This window comes from Homo sapiens, chromosome 1, assembly GCF_000001405.40.
Source record: "Homo sapiens chromosome 1, GRCh38.p14 Primary Assembly".
Classification (NCBI taxonomy): Eukaryota; Metazoa; Chordata; class Mammalia; order Primates; family Hominidae; genus Homo; species Homo sapiens.
Window position 1 is genome coordinate 17,569,134 of NC_000001.11, and position 23,403 is coordinate 17,592,536.

The 23,403-nt window shown below is 54.3% G+C and overlaps 1 protein-coding gene across 40 annotated transcripts in view, besides 6 other annotated features; it reads left to right on the forward strand.

Moving 5' to 3' along the window:
• The window catches only part of ARHGEF10L (Rho guanine nucleotide exchange factor 10 like), a 184,441-nt gene that overhangs the window by 55,699 nt on the left and 105,339 nt on the right, over window positions 1–23,403 (forward strand). For 32 of the 40 annotated variants that reach the window (NR_137287.2, NR_137288.2, XM_024448061.2 and 29 more), the window contains 3 exons: window positions 11,420–11,499; window positions 18,327–18,512; window positions 19,313–19,346. Coding sequence is in view for 36 of the 40 variants with exons in the window: in XM_024448061.2 (XP_024303829.1) it covers window positions 11,463–11,499; window positions 18,327–18,512; window positions 19,313–19,346 (257 nt within the window). In the remaining 4 variants the exon portion in view is untranslated. Of the gene's footprint in view, window positions 1–3,494; window positions 3,514–11,036; window positions 11,193–11,318; window positions 11,500–18,326; window positions 18,513–19,312; window positions 19,347–23,403 lie in introns of those variants that run through there. The other 8 variants (XM_024448059.2, NM_001438945.1, XM_024448062.1 and 5 more) reach the window with 6 other exon arrangements.
• Window positions 61–355: an enhancer, noted in NCBI's record as "tiled region #13018; K562 Activating DNase matched - State 8:EnhW". NCBI's record gives its function as "activates a minimal TATA promoter and a strong SV40 promoter by Sharpr-MPRA in K562 cells {active_cell/tissue: K562}" and the evidence as "EXISTENCE:reporter gene assay evidence [ECO:0000049][PMID:27701403]".
• Window positions 356–872: an enhancer, noted in NCBI's record as "H3K27ac-H3K4me1 hESC enhancer chr1:17895984-17896500 (GRCh37/hg19 assembly coordinates)". NCBI's record gives its function as "activates a minimal SCP1, AML or CMV promoter by ChIP-STARR-seq in primed H9 embryonic stem cells {active_cell/tissue: H9 hESC(primed)}" and the evidence as "EXISTENCE:reporter gene assay evidence [ECO:0000049][PMID:30033119]".
• Window positions 1,389–1,905: an enhancer, noted in NCBI's record as "H3K27ac-H3K4me1 hESC enhancer chr1:17897017-17897533 (GRCh37/hg19 assembly coordinates)". NCBI's record gives its function as "activates a minimal SCP1, AML or CMV promoter by ChIP-STARR-seq in primed H9 embryonic stem cells {active_cell/tissue: H9 hESC(primed)}" and the evidence as "EXISTENCE:reporter gene assay evidence [ECO:0000049][PMID:30033119]".
• Window positions 12,264–13,110: an enhancer, noted in NCBI's record as "H3K27ac-H3K4me1 hESC enhancer chr1:17907892-17908738 (GRCh37/hg19 assembly coordinates)". NCBI's record gives its function as "activates a minimal SCP1, AML or CMV promoter by ChIP-STARR-seq in primed H9 embryonic stem cells {active_cell/tissue: H9 hESC(primed)}" and the evidence as "EXISTENCE:reporter gene assay evidence [ECO:0000049][PMID:30033119]".
• Window positions 19,639–20,204: an enhancer, noted in NCBI's record as "H3K27ac-H3K4me1 hESC enhancer chr1:17915267-17915832 (GRCh37/hg19 assembly coordinates)". NCBI's record gives its function as "activates a minimal SCP1, AML or CMV promoter by ChIP-STARR-seq in primed H9 embryonic stem cells {active_cell/tissue: H9 hESC(primed)}" and the evidence as "EXISTENCE:reporter gene assay evidence [ECO:0000049][PMID:30033119]".
• Window positions 20,771–21,336: an enhancer, noted in NCBI's record as "H3K27ac-H3K4me1 hESC enhancer chr1:17916399-17916964 (GRCh37/hg19 assembly coordinates)". NCBI's record gives its function as "activates a minimal SCP1, AML or CMV promoter by ChIP-STARR-seq in naive H9 embryonic stem cells {active_cell/tissue: H9 hESC(naive)}" and the evidence as "EXISTENCE:reporter gene assay evidence [ECO:0000049][PMID:30033119]".

The window sequence follows — 23,403 nt, forward strand, 5'->3', positions numbered from 1 at the left end:
CAGGGTCAGGTACCTGCCATTCGTGGGTTGGCTCTGCCCCTGGAGGAACTGGTGGGAGGATTAGGGGAGGCACCAGGCATCCCCTGGCCTGGAGCAGTGCTCAGAGCCAACTCCCGCCAGAGGTGCCCCAGAACAGCTGGAACTGCACTCACACCCTTATCTGGGGAGGACAGCACATCACTGAGGGGTGTGGTTTGAATCATAAGTGCTGGCTGCTCTGAATTCAGCCAGAGCTATCCTGGGCTGTGTGGCTGAGGGCCCCCGGGGGTCCTGGGGCTCCATGCTGGGCTTGCATTTCAGGAGACCTCAGATGCTGCTGGCCTGCTTGCCCTGCCGTTGTTGGGTGGGTTGAGCTGTTTTTAGCTCTAAGCTTTGCAAAGGCTGTTTCTTTCCTGCCCAGAGCTCCCTCGTGGGACAGAGTGAACAGGCCCCTCCCTGCCAGACAGAGATTGGGCCTGAAGAAAGAGCTTGGAGCCAGATGGGACCCTGTGGGCTTTGAAAGGGAGGCCTGGTTTGCTCTCTGTGGCCTGCCAACCTGGGACACCGGTGCCCAGCCTTGCTCCTTCCCTGGGAAACTGAATAGACGCCAGGGTCTCACACCTGCCCCGTGGGAAAGGCTGGGGTATGTGCCTGCCTGGTGACGGTGGCAGCCGCGGAGGCTCGCGGATCCTGTCCCCTTTGCCGGCCACATGCTTCTGACTCATCAGAGGAAGAATGTGGTCTTTTTGGGAGAGAGTTTTTAAAAATAGTCCAAGTCCTCCTCTGGCCCTGTCCCACTCCTCCCCTTCTGACCATTTCCTGGCATCAGCCCCAGACCTCTTTCCACTCTGGTTTTGGGGAACTGCCCCTTTGCAACTTGGCTGTGAATCTGTTTGTGAACCTTACTGGGGAGGAGCTGTCCTGGGTGCAGGCTGGTTTCAGAAGGGAGGGGCCCAGCTGTGGCCGCCTCCTCCCCAGGGGCCCGACTTGGGACGAGGGATTTCTGCATTCCTTTGGCAACTGTGCCTTGGGTCGCCTGTGTGTCAGGCCTGTGCCATGGGTGCAGATAAGAGCGGTGAACAGTGGTCACAGTCCTGCCTTCATGGAGTCCACATTCTCATAGGAGGAAACTGATAAATAACTAAAATTTGTAGTTGCCAGAGGTGTTAAATCCTGTGAGGATGGGGACACTGGGTCAGGGCATGTGTGTGGGCTGTCAGGAGAAGGCCTCTGATACAGCGACCTTGGAGCAGAGCCCTGAAGGTGAGGGCAGCAGTGTGTGGGTATCTGGGGGAACAGCATTTCAGGCAGTGGGAACAGCAAGTGCAAAGGCCCTGAGGCAGAAACATGCTTGGGGCATTCAGGGAGCTGGAAGGTGGTGGTGACTAGAGTGAGCTGTGTGGAGAGAGGTAGGACATGAAGTCGGGGGGGTTGTGGGGGCTCTGACACGTGGGGCCTCAGAGATCAAGATGAGGGCTTGGGTCTTCCTTAAATGAGGTGAGAAAACATTCCAGGCTCTGAGCGGAGGATGAACTTGGCCGCTGTGCTGAGAACAACATGTCAGGGCAGGGGTAGAGGTGAGAGCAGAGGGACTGGTCAGGAGGCGTTTTGAATAGCCCAGGTGAGAGATGATGGTGGTTTGGGCCATGGTGGTACTGTGGAGGGGGTGAGATGCGCTCGGATTCTGGGCGTATGTTGAAGGTAGAGCCAGCAGGTTTGCTGAAGGGTGGGCCCTGGGTGTGAGACAGAGGTGTCAAGGATGACTCCAAGGTTTTGGCCTTAGCAGCTGGTGGGATGGTGCTAGCAAGCGGGATGGGAAGACTGGGAGGAGCAGGGTTCTTTGTTCTGGCAGCATGGTGATCAGGAGGTGGGTATGGGCACGTTAAGGCTGAGATGCCCGATCAATCACTGAGTGAAGACACAGAGCAGGCAGAGGGGCAGAGCCTGGAGTTCAAGGGCAGGACAGGCTGGAGGCATCACTATGGCCATGGCTTAGGACCCACGAAGTGAGCCAGGTGACCCAGGTGGCCCAGGGAGGAGCCGCGGTGTAGCCTGAACCTGGGAACTGCCAACCTGGAGGGAGGAAGGAGGAGCGGAGGAAGGGGAGCTGGAGCGAGACGTGAAAGAAGGGAGCAGCTGGCAGGTCAGGCAGAATGGGGACCGAGATGCTCCTCTCTCCCCATCCTGGTCCATCAGAACCGGTGTAGTGGAGGCCGCAGGTGACCTCGTGAGCTGGCTGGCAAAGCGGTGGGCACACACTTGGTTGGGAATAGGTAGCTCAGCACAGAATAGGAGACAGGGACAGGAGACGGAGCATGGGCACTCCTCGGGGAAGTCTTGTAAAGGGGAGCAGAGAAATGGGGTAGTGGGTGGAGAGGGTATGGGATCAGATGAGCAGTAATGCAGCGTATTTATTCATTTATTTATTATGACTTTTTTGAGATGGAGTCTTGTTCTGTCACCCCAGCTGGAGTGCAGTAGTGCGATCTTGGCTCACTGCAACCTCTGCCTCCTGGGTTCAAGTGATTCTCCTGCCTCAGCCTCCCGAGTAACTGGGATTACAGGTGCCCGTCACCACTCCCGGCTAATTTTTGTATTTTTAGTAGAGATAGGGTTTCACCACCTTGACCAGGCTGGTCTTGGACCTCTGAGCTCAAGTGATCCACCAGCCTTGGCCTCCCAAAGTGCTGGGATTATAGGCATGAACCACCATGTCTGGCCACATATTTCTATTTGCTGGGAAGGATCCAGTAGAGAGGAGCTGCGTCTCTTGGTGGCCTCGGCTTCTACCCTAGAAAGACGTCCTTGTACCATGCAAAAGACTCCTCCCTTCCCTCCTTACCCCATCTCATTTCTGGCATCAGCTCAGAGGCCAGTTTGGGGGGGCTCCTCCAGTTGCCCATCTGCAGACCTGTGGACCAGTGATGGGATGGGCAGGGGACCCCTGCAGGTAATTCCGCTCAGAAAGGCAGGGGCCATGGATGGGCAGCAATTCTGAGATCCAGCTGTGCGCAACCATCTCCCTGACCCAGCCCGAATTCTTTGCTTGCGGGGGTCAGTCCACCCGATGTGGGAGGGTGCGGCCTGGGAGAGACCACCAGGGCACCGGCAGAGGAGAACGCCTTGTACTGGGTCCATTTTGGGAGCCCGGGACGCCCTCCTCAGCCCCCTGCTCCATGGGGCCTTGTGGGAATATCAGGGTAGAAAACTCTGCAGGCATGGAGAGTTTAGCTGTGGGTTAGCTCCCACCTGTGACCGATGGAGAGCGTGGTGCGGGCCCCTTCCTGCTGTCCCTCTGTTGTGCTTTAGGTGAGTTCCTGCCCAGGGCTGGGCCAAGTTTATTACCTTACTTCTTCCTCATCTGAACTGGAGAGAGCCTCACCTCCTTGCACACTCCCCCCTTTTACTTACAAAGCTAAGTGAGTCTAAGAAGCCTAAGCCAGTGGTGGAGCCAGGATCAGAACACGCCTGATCCCCTAGCCCCTGCCCTGGCTCTGATCTGGAAGTGGGGCACTGTGCCCTCCCCTGCCTTGGGTATGTACCCGCTGGCCTCCTGTGGCTGCTGCCTGAGGACAGGAACCCGGAACTCTCTTTTGTTTCTTTGTCCCCAGTGCCAAGCTGGGGCCTGGCAGGCAGTAGGTGCGCAGTGAGAAGTTGGCTGAGTGGGGAAGGATGAGTGGCTTACTTTGTGAAAGGTGGAGGAGGTGAGCCTGACCCCTGGAGGTGAGGAGGGTGAACTGGGGTCACAGATTCCCCAAAGGTTGTACCTCAGCTTGGCCCCCTGGAGGCTTTAGTTCAGCCCTGAGGTGTAGCAGGAGCAACGCTGCCCCTCCCTTTGGCTCCACCCTGATGCCTGGGGAGTGGTAGACACCCCTGTGTGTGCCCCCAAATCCTACTGTTTCCCTTGGCAGTGCCCCTCCGTGAGCTCCAGCTCTTTCCTGCCATTCTTCCGTCTGTACACCTGCTGGGTTGCAGGGACGCACATGGACCTCCCTTTCCCTGCCTGCCTCATCCTCCTGGGGGGCTTTGGGTAGGTCCCTTCCCATCTGAGCCTCAGCTTCCCTGTGTCTAAAAAGGAGGTGAGGAAACCCACCTCTCAGGCTGCCTGCAGCCTAAACACACTCTCATGCTAAGTGGCGAGGGCCCAGCAGCGAGGACGCCCAGCAGCTGGGAGGCGGGCATCCCTGTTGTAGGTGGGGAAGCTGAGGCTCTGATGGGCGAGTTGATGGCACACAGTATGTGTCATGCCAGCTGCTGTCCCCTCTCTGGCTTCCAGGTGGGAGCCACGGTGCCCCATCACAGGGACACCCCTGATGTGGGGCTGAGGGTCTGGGGTTCTCTGGAGAAGAGGGGGGTCAGTTCAGCTGATGGCAGGTGGCTTCCTCCGGCACTTCAGCTTCTTCACTCCTTCTGCTGGGCTGGATCGCCGGGGACAAAGGGGTTAATGTGTCTGGGGGCTGGGAGGGAAGGAGGAAGAGCAGGAGGAGGAGGTAGAGGAGGGGGGCTGGAGATAGAGTCTGGGGCCGCCCCCCTCCCACGCTGTCCAGCCACTTCTCCAGGCTGGCTCTGGTTTCCCAGGCAACAGCCCCCAGGGGTCCCCTCTGGCCTGGCCTCAGGGTCGGCTCCTTCCCACAGAGACCTACTCCCAGGGCCCCCTCCCCAGTGCTCCCCACTCTTCCTGCCTGCAGATCCTCACCAGGGGCTCCCTAGGAGGTCAGTGCGGGAGGGTGGGTGCCACCGACTCTGGGCTCAGGACAGAGTCTCCATTGTCTGAGGCTCCAGCCATTGACCAAACTTGGCCCCTGCCCCAGTGAGGCAGGCCCCCTTCTCAGAGCTCCCCTCCCCCTCCCTGGTGAAGAGGAAAGGAAGTTGGAGCCGCCCCCACCTCGGGAAGCCCTTTGAGTGTCCATCAGGTCGGTGAGGGAGGAGCTGGGGTGTGTGGTCCCTTGCCAGATTCTGCAGCTCTGGCACCTGCAGGGTTGAGGAGGGTCTGGGAGGACGCTCCCTGACCCACCCACTCCCCTACTCCCCCTTCCACCCTGGGCCTGGGACCAGGCTGAGGGTCCTGCCCTCTTGCTCCCAGGGGCTCCGTAGCTGTGTGGCCTTGGGGATGCCCCTCAGTCTCTGTCAGCCTCATTTTCCTCATCTGCTATGGGAATCAAATGAGATGCAAACTAAAATGTTCAGTATGGGGCCCGGTGCAGACAGTGCTCGGAGGTGTCAGCTATTGTCATTTCAAATTTTGTGATCTCAGGCCTGGTGTTCCGGTGGAATACGTTTGTCTTGGACTTAGTTTAGCAGTCTGTAAAATGAGAAAATGCTGTTGGTCCTCAGGGACTGGCAGGAACCGTGGGAAGGAAACTGACATTCATTACAAACCTACCAGTGTTGTCCAATGTCATCTTATTTACACCTGCACCTGACAGGTAAGCACAGGAGGCGCAGAGGGCTGCCTGCTTCGGAGTGGGGCTGCTGGAGAGCAGAGGATGAGTGTTGTCTGGGCTGGCTTCATACCAAGGCCGGGTTCCTGTCCACACACCTCATCCTTCTCTTCTGCCTGCGCCCCTCCTGCTATAGCTCTGCCTGTGTTTTCTTGAAGGCAGCTCCTCTCTCCCCATCCCGGACTCTCCACCAGGTGGCCCTTTGCGCTGAGAAGAGCTGTGGGCATCTTGCTGCCCTGCGTGGGGGAGCCGTGGGCCCTCTTCTCTGTCAGGAGACCCCGCCCCACTTCCTGTTCCAGCTCCATTGTGTGGTTTGCATCCCCTTCTCTTCCTTCCGGGCCCCGGGCTTTCAGGACAGGCAGAGGACACCAGGAGGGCTTGTACCTCACCTTCCATCTGTTCTCCCCTCCTCTGGGCCGAAGCCCCACACAAGCAGCTCCCCAGGTCCAGGGATGTCCCAGCCTCATGGGTTCCTGGTCTGTGCCCTTTGGTTCCATGCTGGGTGGGTCCCAAGCAGGGGAAGGTCTCAGCTGTTGTCTAGTGTGTACCCCGGGCCAGACCCAGTGCTACCCATGCTGAGATGGAAAGAAGCCCAGTGCCCCCAGAGAGGTCACAGGCTCTTGGGGAGGGCAACAGTTATAATGGGGCTGTGTCTGCAGGCATGTACCTGTCCCAGCACCACCCATGCTCTTTGAAAACAGCCTGTTGGCCCCCTATCAGCTGCACCTCTGAGCCACTGAATCAGAATCTCTGGGTGTGGGCCTGGGACATAAATATTTTTAAAAAGCTTCACAACTGGAAACCACTGTGTGAAATGGGTCTAAGGAAGCTTTGCAGAGGAGAAATGGGGTCTGGTTTTGATGACTGAACAGGAATTTGCTTGCTGGTTGTGAGAGAGAATTCCATGTGGAGGGAACAGACAGCTTAAGCAAAGGCCTGGAGATGTCAAACAGGTCAGGTGGCATGGTCATGGGGCTGAAAGCCATTCGTGAGAGCCAGAGCAGAGTTCCAGGCCAGGCCCGGAGCCGATGAGATCCGAGAGGTCGGTGGAGGGGGCGAATCTTGGAGGGCCTTGCTTAGGACCCAGGCTCCATTCTGACAGTGATGGGGAAGGGTTTGAAGCAATAAGGTGATGTGACAGGTGTGTTTGCGGAGTGTCTCTGTGGCAGCGGAGGTGGCAGGTGGGTTGGCCTAGCGTGTGTCTAATGAGAGTTGAAAGCCAGAGAGACCTCTCAGAGAACACAGGTACGTGGAGGAGTTCTGGTCCTGACCAGCCCAAGCACCTGGTCTTTCCCCCCATTCCCCACCTTCTTTCTGCTTCAGGAGGTGGGCCCTGCAGAGGGCCTCTGAGGCCAGAGCTTGACAAGCGTGCTTGGGCCAGAACCGATTCCTTGCTTCTCTCTGGGCAGGGCTGGGTGGCCGCTGCCCAGCTCATCCCAGCAGTCCAGCTGCTGCTTCCCCCGCTTCTGCCTGGACCTTGTTAGAGAAAGAGGCCGGCCTTTCCTGTCCTCAAGGCACGACTTGCGCAGCCTTCCAGACTTTCAGGGCCCCCAAGTGTTTTCTTCCTCCAGGCCTCATTCAGGTGGAAGAGGGATGGGGCAGCTTGATGTGTGAGGGGTGGGAGATGGTCTTGGGGGGCCCGGGGTGGGACAGGGGCAGGCAGGAGGAGGGTTTCCTAGTGGGGCCTCTGGGCAGATGGACTTTGAACCCTAGTGGGAGGGGAACTAATAAGCACTGACTAAATTAGCCAAGCCAGGAAGACACCTGCTGTGATGAGCTGGGCAGCTGAGGGCAGAGGGAGGTGCCAATGCCGGGCTGCTCTGGGTGGTCCCGTCGCTGAGCCTAACCTGCTCCGGGCCTCTGGTGGGCACACCCCATAGCCGGGAGCTGGGGCCTCCCCTCTTCCTCCCTTGTCTGAGCACTGCCTCCTCCTCAGCCATTCCACGCAGTAGCAGGAAGGGGAACTGTTCAGTGTCCGCCTGTTCCTTGGGTTTGGTGGTCATTGTTAAAAAGGTGACCTCCAAGAGAAAACAATCTCCTATAACCCCACCACCCAAGCATAGCCTGGATAGGGTCCCCATGGTAACAGAGGCCCCTGTCTACCCAGAGCTTACTCCGTGCAGGGCATGGAGCGTAGAATTCATCACACCCACTGCTGGGTCCTCATTTCATCAGCACAGGACGCTCAGGAAGCAGGTGCTGGTCTTACTCCCACCGCCCCAGTGAGAAAGGAATTCACTGCTGCTGTGGCAAGTGGCAGAGCTGGGATTTGAACCTGAATCATCCCGGCACCAAATCCTATCCTCTAAACGTGGCCTTCGGTGTCACCGCCTGGAGAGTCACCGTGCTGTGGGCAGTGCCCTCCTCCTTTGGACTCAGTTTCCACATCTGTAAAGCAAGAGCAACACTGCCCTCTTGGAGCTACTTTCTGGTTCTGACATGCCATGCTTTTGTATTAGTTCTCTTTTTAAAGATGAGAATGGTTATTGTTTATTTATTTATTTATTTTTGAGACAGTCTTGCTCTGTCGCCTAGGCTGGAGTGGCAGTGGTGTGATCTTGGCTCACTGCAACATCCACCTCCCAGGTTCAAGTGATTCTCCTGCTTCAGCTTCTCGAGTAGCTGGGACTACAGGCATGTGCCACCACGGCTGGCTAATTTTTTGTATTTTTAGTAGAGATGGGGTTTCACCATGTTGGCCAGGCTGGTTTCGAACTCCTGACCTCAAGTGATCTGCCTGCCCCGGCCTCCCAAAGTGCTGGGATTACAGGCATGAGCCACCATGACTGGCCTGAAGTGGGTACTTTTTAATCCCCATTTTGCAGATGAGTAAACTGAGGCCCAGAGATAGGATTAACTCATCCAAGGTCTCATAGCTGCTGAGTGGAACCCAGGTGGTATTGGGGAACCTGAACTCTTTTCTAACCCCGTGAGGATCTGTGGTGGTGGCAGGGGGCTGCTGTGAGCCATCCCCACTCCCTTGTCCACATCCTTCTGAGACTAACAGCCTGTGTGTGCAAAATGGTGGCCACAGGCCTATGGGTATGGGCAGGGCTTGCTGGGCTGCGTCCTCGTCCCGACACTTCAGAGCCCCGCATTAGCCTGTAGCAAACACCTTCCAGATTCCAGCCCCAAAGGCTAGGGAGGCAGTGCGATCAGAGGATTGAGATTAGGCTTTAGGGTCAGTGCTCACTGGCTGGAATCCTAGTGTGGTCACCTTGTCCTCTTGCTTCTGTGACCTGGGGCAAATATTTGCTTCTCTGAGCCTCTGTTTCCTCATCCGTAAGCTGGGGTGTTACGAGAATTAGATAGAATAATGCTAATAAAGTGTCAGGCTCCATACATGTTGGTGTCTCTCTTCCTTTCTAGGGAAAGCCTTGGGCTTTGGAGGGGAGGGCAGGAATCAGTCCCAAAGGGTGAAGAAAGGGGAGGACATTGGACTTTCTGCCCTGGAAGGGAAGGATCCTGGGTTTTGGCCCCAGGGTAGAGTAGCAGCCTCTTTCTGTATCATCATCAAATTGTATTTAAGGAGCAATTTGGACAGGAGGCTGGGCAAAGTGCCTCCCTTTTTCCTTCTGTAAAATGGGTATAGGTCTTTCTGCTGCTTCCCTCCTGGAACTCTTGGGGCAGCAGAGCCCTCAGAGAAAGGCTGAGCAGACCTCAGAGGTTTTGAATGAGCCCACTGGGAGGGGGCCCTGTAGCAGGAGTGCCGTGCAGCTACAGGTTTGTTTTCCAAAATCCTTTGCTGAAGTAAAAGTTTAGTCCTGAGAGTTTTCAGCGTGGGTCTAAAAGGCACAGTCACACGCTTAGCAGAGAGTAACTGGTATCATCAGTCACAGTGAGAAATGCAGGCAGGTGTCAGGGTTCACATCTGTGATCCCAGCACTTGTTGAGGTCAACAAGGGAGGATGGCTTGAGCCCAGGAGTTTGGGACCAGCCTGGGCAACAGAGTAAGACCCTATCTCTAGAAAAAATTTTAAAAAATTAGCCAGGCATGGTGGTGTGTGCCTGTAGTCCCAGCTACTGGGGAGGCTGAGGCGAGAGGATCACTTGACCCAGGAGTTCCAGGCTACAGTGAGCCATGATTGTGCCACTGCACTCCAACCTGGGAAATCGAGACCAAAGCAGCCTCAGTACCTATCGATGGGGGCTATATAAATTATACCCCCACAAAAAACACCTACCTCAAAACAAAACCAAACCTACTATGCAGCTGTTAAAAAAAGTGGGGTTGATTTCTATGTATTAGTACTATTCTGAAATCATCACTGAGATTTAGGTTAAAAAGGCAGTTGCAGCACTGTGAGTGCTGTGTGCTCCTTCTGTATGAAACAAGGCATATCTGCAGATATGCAAGTTGGCCCATGCATGGGAGAGTTCTGGAAGGATTCTTGAGAAGTCAGTAACAGTCATCTCTTCTGGGGGACTGGGGGATTAGGGCAACCAGGGTGGGAGGTTGACTAACTTTTTTTTTTTTAATTTTTTGAGACAGAGTCTTGCTCTGTTTCCCAGACTGGAGTGCGGTGGCACGGTCTTGGCTCACTGCAACCTCCGCCTCCCACGTTCAAGTGATTCTCCTGCCTCAGCCTACTGAGTAGCTGGGATTAAAGGCATGTGCCACCATGCCCAGCTAATTTTTGTATTTTTAGTAGAGATGGAGTTTCACCACGTTGGCCAGGCTGGTCTCGAACTCCTGACCTGAAGTGATCCGCCCACCTCAGCCTCCCAAAGTGCTGAGATACAGGCGTGAGACACTGTGCCCGGCTCGGAGACTAACTTTTCATTGTCTACCTGTTGTATCGTTTGAGTCTTGAAAGGTGCTAGAGTGTAGTAGCTGCTTCTAAGCACAGACTCCAGAGCCCCATGGCCTGGGTTCGAACCCTGGCTCTTCCTAGCTGTGTGATCTTGGGCAAGTTACTTAACCATTCTTGGTCTCATTTTCTCATTTATAATTTGGAATAATAGACGTTAATATTTGTAAAGTGCTTAAAATTATGTCTGAGGTATCGTTGGCAATGCAAGAATGTCTACTGTTACTAATATTGCCATTAACCTGCATTTCATTTTTGTTTAGTAAGCCAGTTTAATAAAAATAAAGCCTTTAGGAATGGAAAGGAAAACAGGAACACAGCCGGTTTGTGGCCTGGGCAGATTAGACCAGGGGGCTGGGTGCTTTCCCTCCAGGGTGCATTCTCTCCTCCACAAGATGTCTAGGAGGACAGCCCCCAGTGCACAATTGAAGGTGACAGTAGGGAGCGGGGGCAGGGTTGGCTCCAGGGCCCAGGAAGCCCACCGGAGGCATCAGCCTTTTGCTTATGTGAGCTCCCACTGTGAGGGGAGGGCGGTGCCACCTTGGGCCAGGAGGAACTGTGCCCCCACGCTGAGCATTTGGGATTCTGTCCCTGTCTTATGCCATTGGCCTCTGGAGCCATTGCTTTCCTCACACCCATGTGCCAAGGCCAGGTTACCTCCTGCCTGCTGGTCAACCCATGGGGCAGGACAGGAAGAGGCAGAGTCAGAGTGGCCTTCAGCAGGGCTACCGGAAGGGACTGACAGGAGTGGGCAGACCTAAGGGAGCCCATGCTTCCTGGGCAGCCAGGAGGAGGAAGTATCCAGCCCCATTTGTGACAGTCAGGTGTGATCTGATTCCTGGAAGGTTGGGGGCTGAGCATGATCCTGGACTCTGGGGCCAGATTTCACCTGTAAGCCAGAGGGGATGAGGACGGACACCCAGCAGGTCCCTGCAGGTCCCTTGGCACTGGCAACAGGAAGGTCTGTGGCTGCAGGGTTTTCTGGGAAGAAGGATTTGGGCTGCACAGCTGCTGATGTTTCTATGGGTTAATGATTTATGAAGGCTGGAGGCTGGGGCCTTTCTGGGGCTGCCCTGTGCTCTGAGAGCCACTGGGCTGAAGCACAGGTTGTGAGCCAGTGACTTGTCTCAGTAGCTGAAACTGCAGCCCTGACTCCAGCTAATGCGATTTCTGGTCTTCTTTCCACAGGTGTGTAGCTGGGACGGTGCTGGTCTGAGCTGGACCTTGTCTGATGGCTTCCTCCAACCCTCCTCCACAGCCTGCCATAGGTACCGTACCCAGGGCTTCCTGTCCCTCTCATCCTTTCTTAGAAGGGGGCCGCTGGGGGCCGGCGGAGGGCCTTGCTCTGGAGCAGCATGGCGCCGGGTGGGAAGTCTGCTCTGCTGGCTGCTGGCCCTGCCTGGGCCGCATCCTCTATCTCACGTTCCTTGTCTACAAAATAGAAGTAACTTTCTGCTCACGGAGGAGGCTCTGAGCAAGGGTCAATCCTTTTCCTGTCTCCCTGAGATCCGCCGGAGAGGTGAACACACGGGGGTCTCAGGCTGAAGCTTATAAATCAGGGGTGAGGAACTGAGGTTGGAGGAGAGGGTTGCGCCATAGGGTCAGGCCGTTGAACAGTGGTAGCATTGCCGCATTTAGTGAAAAAAAGAGAAAGTAAAAGAAAAATACAGCCAGGCATGGTGTCTCATGCCTGTAATCCCAGCACTTTGGGAGGCCGAGGCGGGCAGATCACTTGAGGTCACGAGTTCGGGACCAGCCTGGCCAACATGGTGAAATCCCATCTCTACAAAAATACAAAAATTAGCTGGGTATGGTGTGGCACTTGTAATCTCAGCTACTTGAGAGGCTGAGGCAGGAGAATTGCTTGAACCTGGGAGATGGAGGTTGCAGTGAGCCAAGATCACACCACTGCACTCCAGCCTGGGTGACAGAGCAAGACTGTCTCAAAAAAAAAAAAAAAAAAAAAAAGAAAAGAGAAAAAGAAAAATACATACTTATACTAACAAAATTATTCGTCGTTTATCTGAAATTCAAGTCTGTGTCCTGTATGTTATTTGGCAACCCTGGCACTGGGGCCTCAGACACTGCAGGTGGAATCCAGGCCCCGCCTGGGAGGAAATGGGCCCAGGGCTGTTTCACCCAGGCAGCAGCTTCCTGTCCTCTTGTATCACTATGAGAGAGGCAGAATTGCAGATGGTAATGAGTGAGGGCTTTGTCCTCAGCCCCATCTGAGTTTGAATCCTGACCCTGCCACTTAGACTGTGGGGCTGGTTAAGTGACATGTTGTCTCTGTGGCTTAGTTTCATCATCAGTAAACATGGGGACAATGATACCCTCTCCTGGGCTGTTGCAAGGTTTAAATATATGTCAGGCGTGGGCATGGGGTAATCAATTGCTCACTGACGGGAGTGCTTATCATCGTGGGTGTCAGCAGGACAGACAGCGTGTGCCATGCCCTGCACCCCTGGGAGAGCCAAATGATGCATCTCCTCCTCCCTGAGCCTCGGGGTTCTTCTTGGGCGGGGGGTGGGGAGCAGCACAGCAGACCTGTCTTCCCTGTGGCAATGGGTGGCTTCCTAGGGTCCCTCGCCTCCTGGACTCGCTTGTATTTTCTCACAAGGACCGGGTCTGTCCAGGAACATCAGAGGCATGAGTGACCAGCTCTGGCTGTGCCACCTTTGCAGGCTATTAGGAAGGGCTTCCTTCAGCTCTCAGCTGTGCTGGGATGGGCCTCCTGAGTTTTCCTTCTGATAAGGAGCAATGCCTGATTGCCGGGGGGAGGATAGAAGGCGGCCTTGGAGACAAGCACATCTCACCTCCCAATTCATGACTGGGATTTGGGTCCCAGCATGCCTGGCCTTGCCCCATCCCGCCCCTGCTGCCATGGGCACCTGTTCCCTTTCCTCTCCCCACCAAGAGGCCTGAACCTGAACATGGGGAGTGAGAAAAAAAAATTTATGACTAAGTCAATTCTGTTCTGTTCAGCAAACATTTGACAAATATTTGTTGTTCCAGCTCTTTCTAATATTGCTGGCTAGTATCATCTGGGTGAACCCAGCTCTTTGCCATTTTCTCATTCTCTGAGAGCTTCCCATTACCTTCCCAAATTAAATTCAAATTCCTGAGTAGGGGATTCCCCACGCACCTTGTCAACTGTCTAATGACCTTCATTCCTGCGCGTGTCTTCAGCACCCCCGGGGCACTTGGTGTTTGTTCTCTGTCTTTGCTGTGGCCTCTGCCTGGAATCCACGCTTTAGTTGGAGCTTGTCAGGCCTTTTCTCATCCTTTAAGGCTCAGTGCGAGGGCAGCCTCATCCTCGGAGCCCTTCCTGAAGCCCCAGAGAGCCCCAGCCCCTTCCTCTTGGCACCGTCTCAGTCTCTGAGGTTTTTGGTTTTCTCCTGCTGGCTCTGTCCTGTCAGCCTCACAGTGAGCTCCGGAGGGGAGCTCACAGTCACCCACCCCGAACCCCAGGACTGTGTCTTACCTTTCCTTCCCCCTCCCTGCCCACTGGATGCTGGGAGCTGCTCACTGCATGCATGGATAACTGAAGCTATTTGTACTCTTAAAGGGAGGAGGTGCAGGCCAGGCACAGTGGCTCATGCCTATAATCCTAGCACTTTGAGAAACCTTGCTTGAGCTCCAGAGTTTGAGACCAGTCTGGACAACAGAGTGGAACCCTGTCTCTACAAAAAATGAAAAAAAAAAAAAATAGCTGGGCATGGTGATGCTACCTGGGAGTCTGAAGTAGGAGGATCACTTGAGCCCAGGAGGTTGAGGCTGCAGTGAGCCATGATCGCACCACTGCCCTCCAGCCTGGGTGACAGAGTGAGCTTCATTTAAAAAAAAAAAAAAAAAAAAAGAAGGTGTAGAAATGACCTGAGTCCCTGGACATGGCTGGGGGCAGGGTTGCCTGAGGCCGGGTCTTGCCTGTGAGTTGGAGAGGACTGCCCTTCTCACCCAGCAGCAGGGACTGGGCTATGACAAGGCTGTAATCATAATAATAACAGTGATAATGGTGGTAATAATACGACAGTGATGATGTAACGATGGTGATAATAATAAGCAGAATCATCATCGTCAGAAAAGCTAACATTTGGTGAGCACGCACCCTGCACCAGGTGCTTTATTTATGTTCATTCATTCCCTCCTCCCAACAACCCTGTGAGGTAGTTGCTGTTATTGACCTCATTTTAGAGATCAGGAAACTAGGAGGGGGTCAAATAACCCGACACTCATCCAGCTGGTACCTGGGTGAGCTGGAGTCTGAGCTGAACCCAGGTGGCCCGACTCTAGAACCTTAGTCACTGCAGTGACACCATCCACATATAAAGGGAGACCCCCACCCCCACTCCCTGCCCAGCAGATTCACTTAGGCAAGGACCAGTGGGCACTGAGAGGCTAAGAAAACCCTGTGTAAGTCAGGATGGGCCTGTAGCTGGTACCCCCAAAATAGTGGGTAGGGACTTTGTGGTCATTTATTCCAGTATTTAAACAAATTTTTTTTTGAGACAGGATTTTGCTCTGTTACCCAGGCTGGAGTACAATGGTGTGATCATGGCTCACTGCAGCCTCAAATTCCTGGGCTCAAGCCATTCTCCTGCTACAGCCTCCTGAGTAGCTGAGACTGCCGGCACATACCACCACACCCAGCCGATTTTAAAATTATTAAAAAATTTTTACTTTTGTTTATTTTTTTTTGAGACAGAGTCTCGCTTTGTCACCCAGGCTGGGGTGCAGTGGCACAATCATGGCTCAGTGCAGCCTTGAACTCCTGGGTTCAAGTGATCCCTCCACCTCAGCCTCCCAAGTAGCTGGGACTACAGGTGTATGCTACTACACCTGGCTAATTTTCTCATTTTTAGTAGAGACAAGGTCTCACCATGTTACCTGGGCTGGTCACAAGCTTTTGAGCTGAAGCCATCCTCCTGCCCCAGGCTCCCAAAGTGCTGGGATTACAGGCGTCAGCCACAGCACCCAGCCTATGTTTTAAACTTTGAAAATTACCACCCATAGACATGACAACAGGGGGACAAATGCTTATCACGTGCCTCCTGTATGCTGGACGTTACACTAGATGCTGAGGATGCAACAGCAAACAAAACAGACAAAAATACCTGCCCTCGTGAAGCTTATATTCGAGTAGAGGAGACAGACAGCAACACAAATAGCATATGGCATCATATGCTGACAACAGCCATAGAGAAAGGTAAAGTAGGCAGGGCAAACCGGGAGTCTCAGCAGGTCTCTATGGCAGCGTGCAGTAGAGATGCCGCAGCATGCAGAGAGATGATGCGCAGTAAAGATCTGAAAGAGGGGAGAGCAGGAGAAGATACTCGAAGGAAGAACGTGCTAGGCCCTGGGGCTGCGGGTGCAAAGGTCCTGAGGCAGGAGCATGCCTGGCACATTTGTGGTACAGGAAGGAGATCAGTGTGGCTGGAGTGGAGGGAGCAAGGGATGAGCAGAAGATTCTACGCACATGTGCACGTGTGCGTGCACACACACACACACACACACACCCCTACCCAATGTGTATATGTAACTGAAACAGAAGTGTCAAAACCAATATTGAAATTATACCAAGGTGAATTCATTAGTATCACAATACATTATTTTTTAAACATCTGAAATAATTCAATACCAAATGTATTTTATTTGGTATTATAATATCAAAAAGATACCCCATATGATTTTATTAATATTAGAATACAATGTTTAGAAACATCTGAAACAAAACAAGCTATCAATCCAAACACCAAATACAATGCTGATTGGGAATCCCCTAATTAAACTTATGAGCTACCAGGGGTTGGGAACTGCGTCCGAAAACCACAGATCCAGCTCCCACCCAAGCCCTTTCTGTCAGCGCAGGGCAGAATGTCTGAGGGCTTAGTAGAAGAGTATGGAGGGTGAATGGAGCTGGGTTCCAGTCCATCCCCATCCTCTTAGCTGCTGACTGTGGGCACATTGCTTTGCTTCTGTCTCTGGGGTCTTGGGTAAATGGAGGTGATCCTGAGGCTGGATCAGGAAGCTGCCTGGGGCACAGCTCGGGATCTCTCAGGACTTGCTTCATGACACCTGGGGAAGGAGTTTGCTCTACAGGCCACATCGCTGCCCAGAGTCCACCCCTGCTGACCTGGCCTGTGGGATCCCCAAAGCCCCAGGAGGAGTGGCTGTGTCTCCTCCTCCGTGGCCTCAGAGGAAGTTGGGTACTTCTCATTCTGGGGAGGGAGGGCGTACTCTGGGCTTCCATTGCAGTCGAGCAGCTGAAGAAGGGGTTTCTTACATCTGCCCCCAAAATATTATGCTCTGGGAACCTCCAGGTCATTGTAGGGGAGTGACTGGATTTTTCTAGTCCAAGAGACTGTTGGAATCAGATATGTCCATCTGTCCATCTGTTCATCTGCTGGACCATCTGCCCATCTCTCTGTTCCAGCCACCTCCTCACCCATCACTCATCCATCCATCTAATGTTTATTGAGCATTTGCCAGGGCTGGGTCCGCAGACCCATGGGCTAGAAAATCCTGTTTGTCCTCAAGGATCTGCGGCTGTTGTTGTCATAATCCTTACATATACGGGCACTGTGCCGAGGGCTACTCCTACCCAGTGGTTCTCTGATAGTGGTGATTTTACCCTCCAGGGGGACATATGGCAATGTGTGGAGACATTTTTGGTTGTCACAGCTGGAGGGTCCCCTGGGCCTGTAGGGTGTAGAAGCCAGGGATGCTGCTAATCGTCCTACAGTGCACAGGATAGCCCCCTCTCCACCCACAAAAAGAATTATCCAGTCCCAAGTATCAATTGTACCAAGGCTGAGAAAACCTAAGCTGCAGCTCAGCTGATGTTCATGTCAGCCTTATGGGGAAAGTGCTGTTTTTATTCTCCAGTTTGCAGAGGAAACCAAAATTCAGAGAGGCAAAGTGACTTGCTCAGAACCACACAGCTAGCAGGGAGCTCAGACAGGGCCATGTGAGCGCAGAGCTCATGCCTAAGCTGTGTGTCATGTGCCCACGAGAGGGCTGCTTAGGGCGGTCAGCTTGGCAGATGTTTAAAAACAGAACCAAACTGCCCGTTGGTTTTGCAATGGTTTGCATAAGGTAGGGGATGGAGTTATTGAACTCCTGAAGTTCCATTCAGCCCAGAGTTTAGGAAGGAAGTCTTCTAGGAAGAGGACTGGGGAACCTCCATGTGGTGAAATGGCTGGAAATGGCTTCTCGTGCTCTCTAGGATAGAGAATTCATCCCTTCACTCATGTAACAAAAGCCGCTGAGCTCCTGGTCTGGGCCGGTCCAGGACCAGAGAGTAGAGGGGACAGACAGGTGAGATGTCTGCTCTCAGGGATCCGAGCTTGGTGGGGAGTACAAACAAGGGGCAGGGGCAGAGAAGGAGAGGCCACACCTCCTGTAGTAGGGTAGGCGGGGACAGTCTCTCTGCTTGAGTTGAGCTTTAATGGGAGAGGAGGACAGGAGTTCATAGTCACGAAAGGGGTTCCCCAGGAGGGTAAAAGCAGGGAATGAGGCCTAGCAAGCTGACCTCCATGCTGAGAGCTTGGTGCCTTCCCCTGCCCCAGCCAGTCTGTGCCCTAGTACCTGCAAGCTGGCTGCCTCCAAGTCCAGGCATTCCCAGGCAGCTGTGTTTCATGCTGCTGCACATACCAAATAAAGTGTAGTGGGAAGGATGCGCTGTCTGTGCTCATTTGCACACACAAAGCACACAGACACATCAACACACAAACATACAATAAGCTTGTGCTCACGCATAAACACACATGTAAAAAGACCCCTTGCTCACAAAACAGGGAAACACGAAATAAGAAGAGGAAAGATATACATTGAAGTACTGAGGTGCACAGGCTCGCCCTGGGAGCACACTCCCTTCCCTCCCTCAACTGCCACTTGCTTAGAGACCTAACCCAACCCCCTCCCCCCGGCCTTACCAGCACTGTAGGGCCATGTGGCTTGAGTTTGATGGCTCTCATTCCCTGGCTCAGACCTGAGGTGCTCACCCAGTTCCAGCCATGCCCACCTACCCCAGCCATCTCTCCATTGACCAAACCTCGGAGATCCTGCAGCCTGGCCAACTCCTTCTCTCTTCCAGGAGATCAGCTGGTTCCAGGAGTCCCAGGCCCCTCCTCTGAGGCAGAGGACGACCCAGGAGAGGCGTTTGAGTTTGATGACAGTGATGATGAAGAGGACACCAGCGCAGCCCTGGGCGTCCCCAGCCTTGCTCCTGAGAGGGACACAGACCCCCCACTGATCCACTTGGACTCCATCCCTGTCACTGGTAAGATGTTTCTGGGAACTTCCGGTCCTGGGGCTACAGGGAGCATGGAGAACTGGGCGGAAGCTCCAGGCTCTCAGGGATGCCTGGTGGCCCCTCCGCTGTCCCCAGAAAGCAGGAAGGGAAAAGCCAGTGGGAAGAAGCTGCAGTCTGTGGCTTCCCTGGTGAATTGGAAATTCCTAGCATTCCTGCAACATCTGGCGCACTTTGGCACATTGTAAATGGAAGTGGTTGGCCTGAGTTTTGCTTTGGAGACAGTTGCTGCCCAGAGCTTGTGTCTCTGAAGTCCTCCCTGCAGCTTCTCCTAAAGAATCCACACCAGCCAGAAGAGCAGCCTCCCAGAGGTTCCCTCTCCTGTCTGCCTTGGGGAGCTGGCAACCCTGGGGGGCAGGAGGGCCCTGATAAGCTGGTGTTAAATGGCAGCTTCTGGGCTCTTAGAGTCTGTTATCTGAGAGAGAGAATCTGGGGACTGGACCAGCTGGAACTTCCTGCAGGCTTGGGGACAGCGGGCTCCTGGAGCAGCTGGGGGTGGAGGGCAGGCCCAGAGCAGGCAGGGTGGCTGCCACGGGTTCTGGCTGGAGTTGGGAAGTGGGCCACGGGGTGGGTGGGGGTGGTGCAGGCCAGGTAGGGGAGCTGATGACTGAGCCAGGGCTGGGGGAGGGAGGCGGGGCTCAGCAGGCACCCAGACTGGCCAGGCCCTGTCTGCGGCGCCCCTGGGGAGGCTGGGAAAGGGGCGGGGAAGGCCTGAGTGCCTGGGGCCAGCCTCTGGCCTGACAGGCTCTCTGTCTGCTCTTCTTTTGCAGACCCAGACCCAGCAGCTGCTCCACCCGGCACAGGGTAAGTGAACCTTGCTCCTTTGCTTTGGCGGTTGGAAACAGGGAGACACCGGGCAGTGGGTGGGGATGGGGTGGAGCTGAGGCCCAGAGGACCCGACTGGTCTTTGGCTAAGGAGGAAAGCATTTCACTGAGGCCCTGTGCCCTGGGGGAAGAGGTCAGTTCCAGAAACTCATGGTACTTTTTCCTTTATTTTGCCCACAAACCTCTGAAACCGCAGGAGGCAGGCCTGGCTCCAAACCCTACCTCTGTGGCCTTGGAGGAGTCACAGAAACTCTCCAAGTGTCAGTCTGTTTGCGGCTGAAGGGGAAACAATGAGAGCACCCCCTCTGTTGGGTTTGTCTTGGAGAAGCAAACAGCTGGAGGGTCCCCAGTGTGTGTGTGTGTGTGTGTGTGTGTGTGTGTGTGTGTGTGTGTGTGTGTAGTGGGGGAGGTTGGGGGGGTTTGAGGGTGGGGGGGGTGCAGCCCATTGTAATTATTTTTGCAGTTGCCATTTGTCTTGTTAATATCATTCCCATTCCTATGACAGTTGCTATTAGGGACCCTGCCCTCTGTGCCTGGGAGCCTGTCAGAGGCAGTGTAGCCTAGTGGTTAGGAGCCTGGATGTTGGGGTGAGGGCCTGCGTCTTGGCTGTGGCCCCCACACTGGCCACAGGTCCTCATGTCAGTCAAGTCCCCCTTTGGTTTTCTCATCTGTAAAATGGGCTATCGGGTAAGATGCCCAGCCTCGTGGTAGGTGCCTAATCAAGGCATTTGCTTTTTATCACAGTTCTTCTTTGTCTTCTGCAAGTCAGGTCTGGGTTGGAAGGGTAATTGGGTAACTGGAGGTGGTGGGAGCTGAGGCCTCTCAGGACCAGGTGTTTAGAGCCTCCTTGCCTAAGCAGTGGAGGGGTCTAGGCTCCAAATGAATGGCCCAAGCATCTGGAACCCTGAGTTTAAATCCTCACTACCCTGGTGAGGGGAGGCATGTCTGAGCCCTGCTTTGTCTTCCTGGGGTGCCCCAAACTGAGCAAGAGGGGCTAATTCTCAGGGTGGTGTCACCCAACGGGAGGTTTCAGAGATGCAGGTTGCAGGCCCAGGCCCCCAGAGGAGAAGTCCTTCATGTGCTCATTTGCTGTCCAGAGTGGGTGGACTTGGGGAGGGTTTCTCCTGAGCTTGCTACTATGTAATTAAGGTGAGAATTAGAGGCCAGCCTCTCCTTCCTGATTAGGGACCTGAAATGAATCAGCAGCCATTCGTCCTGCACCTGGGCTGGGAAGGGCCGTGATGGCTGCAGTCTTCCAAGGGTTTATATCTCCAGGGTGGGCCAGGGGTGAAGTTGTGGAGAAACTCAGTCTGGTGGGAGATGCAGATGCGTCAGAGTGGGACAGAGACGGACGCCCAGGGAGCTGGGACACTGACTGGAGGGGAGCAAGGATGGGGTCGTCAGGGAAGACTTCTGGGCCAGGTCCTGGCTCAGCGAGTGAATGGAAATTCTCCATTCAGGATGGCAGAGGGGCAGGGGGAGTGCCTGCTGAGGAAGCCCCTGAGCAGAGGTACAGGGCTGGCACACAGGGTGGTCAGCACACTCACTTCCTTCAAGCTACCCTCTTGGAGACCCCAGGAGTTAGGTGATGTGCTCAGGGTTCCATGTAGATAAGTAGATGCTCATTCAGAAGAGAGACCAAGGCCCCTCTGACACCGAGGCCAGGCGCTGGGCCACCGTGCTTCTCTGCCTCCAGGAGCTCATGCGCTGGTCCCTGATGAGAGGGTGTGGCTGGCTTCATAGGAATGATCTGATTGTGTGTACATTTTTTGAGGAAAGATTTTTGCCCACTCAGAGATGATCTCTGAGCTCTTGGGAGAGTGGCGTCTAAGCAGTCGGTGGAATGTTCCATAGGTCCCTCCCGGGGAGGCTTGTGCGGCAGTGCCTGGTGTGTGATTCCTGGTGAGGTCCCTTCCCTTGACATGAGAGCAGAGCAAAAAGAGCCGGCTCTTCGCTCCCCCAACACAGAGATCTTGTGAGGGCGGAGGGGTGTGCAGGTGTGTCTCTCCACCAGCAGTTGCCTCTATGGGGACAGGGACTTTTTGATTTTTTGGAGGGGGATGTTTTGTTTGCTGCCAAACCTCATGGCTTAAGTGGCAGGCACGGGGTGAGTGCCAAAGACGTCCTTGGTGAACGAATGATGGACAGAAGGACAAGGAGGGTCTGTGTTCCATGGAAGCAAGGAGAAAGCAAACAGCATGTCAGACCTGGTGAAGTGGCTCACGCCTGTAATCCCAGCACTTTGGGAAGTCAAGGTGGGTGGACCACTGAGGTCAGGAGTTCAAGACCCAGCCTGGCCAACATGGTGAAACCCCGTCTCTACAGAAAATACAAAAATTAGCCGGTCCTGGTGAACGGTGCCTGTAATTCCAGCTACTGGGGAGGCTGAGGCAGGAGAATCGCTTGAACCTGGGAGGTGGAGGTTGTAGTGAGGCGAGATTGCGCCATTTCACTCCAGCCTGTGTGACAAAGCGATACTCTGTCTCAAAAACAAACAAACAAAGAAACAAAACCAACCAAAGAATACCACCCCACCCCTCTACCCCCAAATGAATGGCATGTCAATAGGGTTTCTATTGGATTCTGACTCTGGCAGCTGTAGAGGCCAAGACAGAGGCCAGGGAAGGGAAGCGCAGAGTGGTTGTGTGGCCCAAGGCCACATGGCTAGAGCCACCTGACCTCACTGGTGCTGATGGTGCTGTGCTGAGCCACAGGCTGTGCTAAGTGCTCTGTGTACATTATCTCTTTTTGTTGTTGTTTGAAACAGGGTCTCACTCTGTTGCCCAGGCTGGAGTGCAGTGGTGTGATCATGGCTCACTGCATCCTTGACCTTCCAGGCTTGAGCGATTCTCCTGCCTTAGCCTCCCGAGTAGCTGGGACTACAGGCATGTGCCATCATGCCTGGCTATTTTTTTTTTTTTTTTTTTTCTGAGACAGTTTTGCTCTTGTTGCCCAGGCTGGAGTGTGGTGGCGCCATCTCGGCTCACTGCAACCTTTGCCTCCTGGGTTCAAGTGATTCTCCTGCCCAGCCTCCTGAGTAGCTGGGATTACAGGTGTGTGCCACCACGCCGAACTAATTTTTTGTATTTTTAGTAGAGATGGGGTTTCATCATGTTGGCCAGGCTGGTCTTGAGCTCCTGACCTCAGGTGATCCACCCACCTCGGCCTCCCAAAGTGCAGGGATTATAGGCGTGAGCCACCGCGCCTGGCCTAACTTTCATATTTTTTGTAGAGATGGAGATCTCACTCTGTTGCCCAGGCTGGTCTTGAACTCTTGGCTCAAGCAATCCTCCTGCCTTGGTGTCCCAAAGTGCTGGGATTACAGGCATGAACCACTGCATCTGGCCTGTATTATCTTATTACTTGTACCCCTAGGAGCCCTAGAAGACAGGTACTATTGAATATGCCCATTTTGCAGATGAGCAGCTGAGGCTTAGAGAACTGAAGTAATTTACCCAAATCTCATGGAGCTAGTAAATGGCAGGGCTGGGACTAGGCCTGTCTGCCCTCAAAGCTGTCTACTGAGGCCCACAGGGTTTGCTTCTCCTGGTGGACTCTGAAGCACGTGCACTCATGTCCACCCTGAGCTCTCGCTGGGGGAGTCGTGGTTGAAAGAGCAGCCCTGAGTACCCAGCAGTGCCTGGGAAACGTGAGCGCCACAGATCGCTGGCTTCCTGTGTTTTTCCTGGACTCAGGCCTGCACCCCTCACCTCTGAGTGCAATAGCCCCATGGACTCTGGCCCCCTCTGGAGTTGTTTGCTTTTCCTGTTTAGTTTTGCCTTTATCCCCCTGTGACCTCAGCACTTTTCTGTGGGTCAGGGTTTTGGCTCCTGGCCCTGGTCGCAGGGATTCTCATGGGCTCCCTGAAGGTACCTGGCCTACCCCTTCCTGGGCTTTTCTGGATAAGATGGTTGTACTGCCTGTTGGCTAGTGTCTCTCATTGGGGCCTGGAGCCAGGGGAAGTGATGGGGCAGCCGTATTCTGGGAGAGGACAGGGAGACTCATCTTCCCTGGATGTATCAGGGGCTGAGAGGAT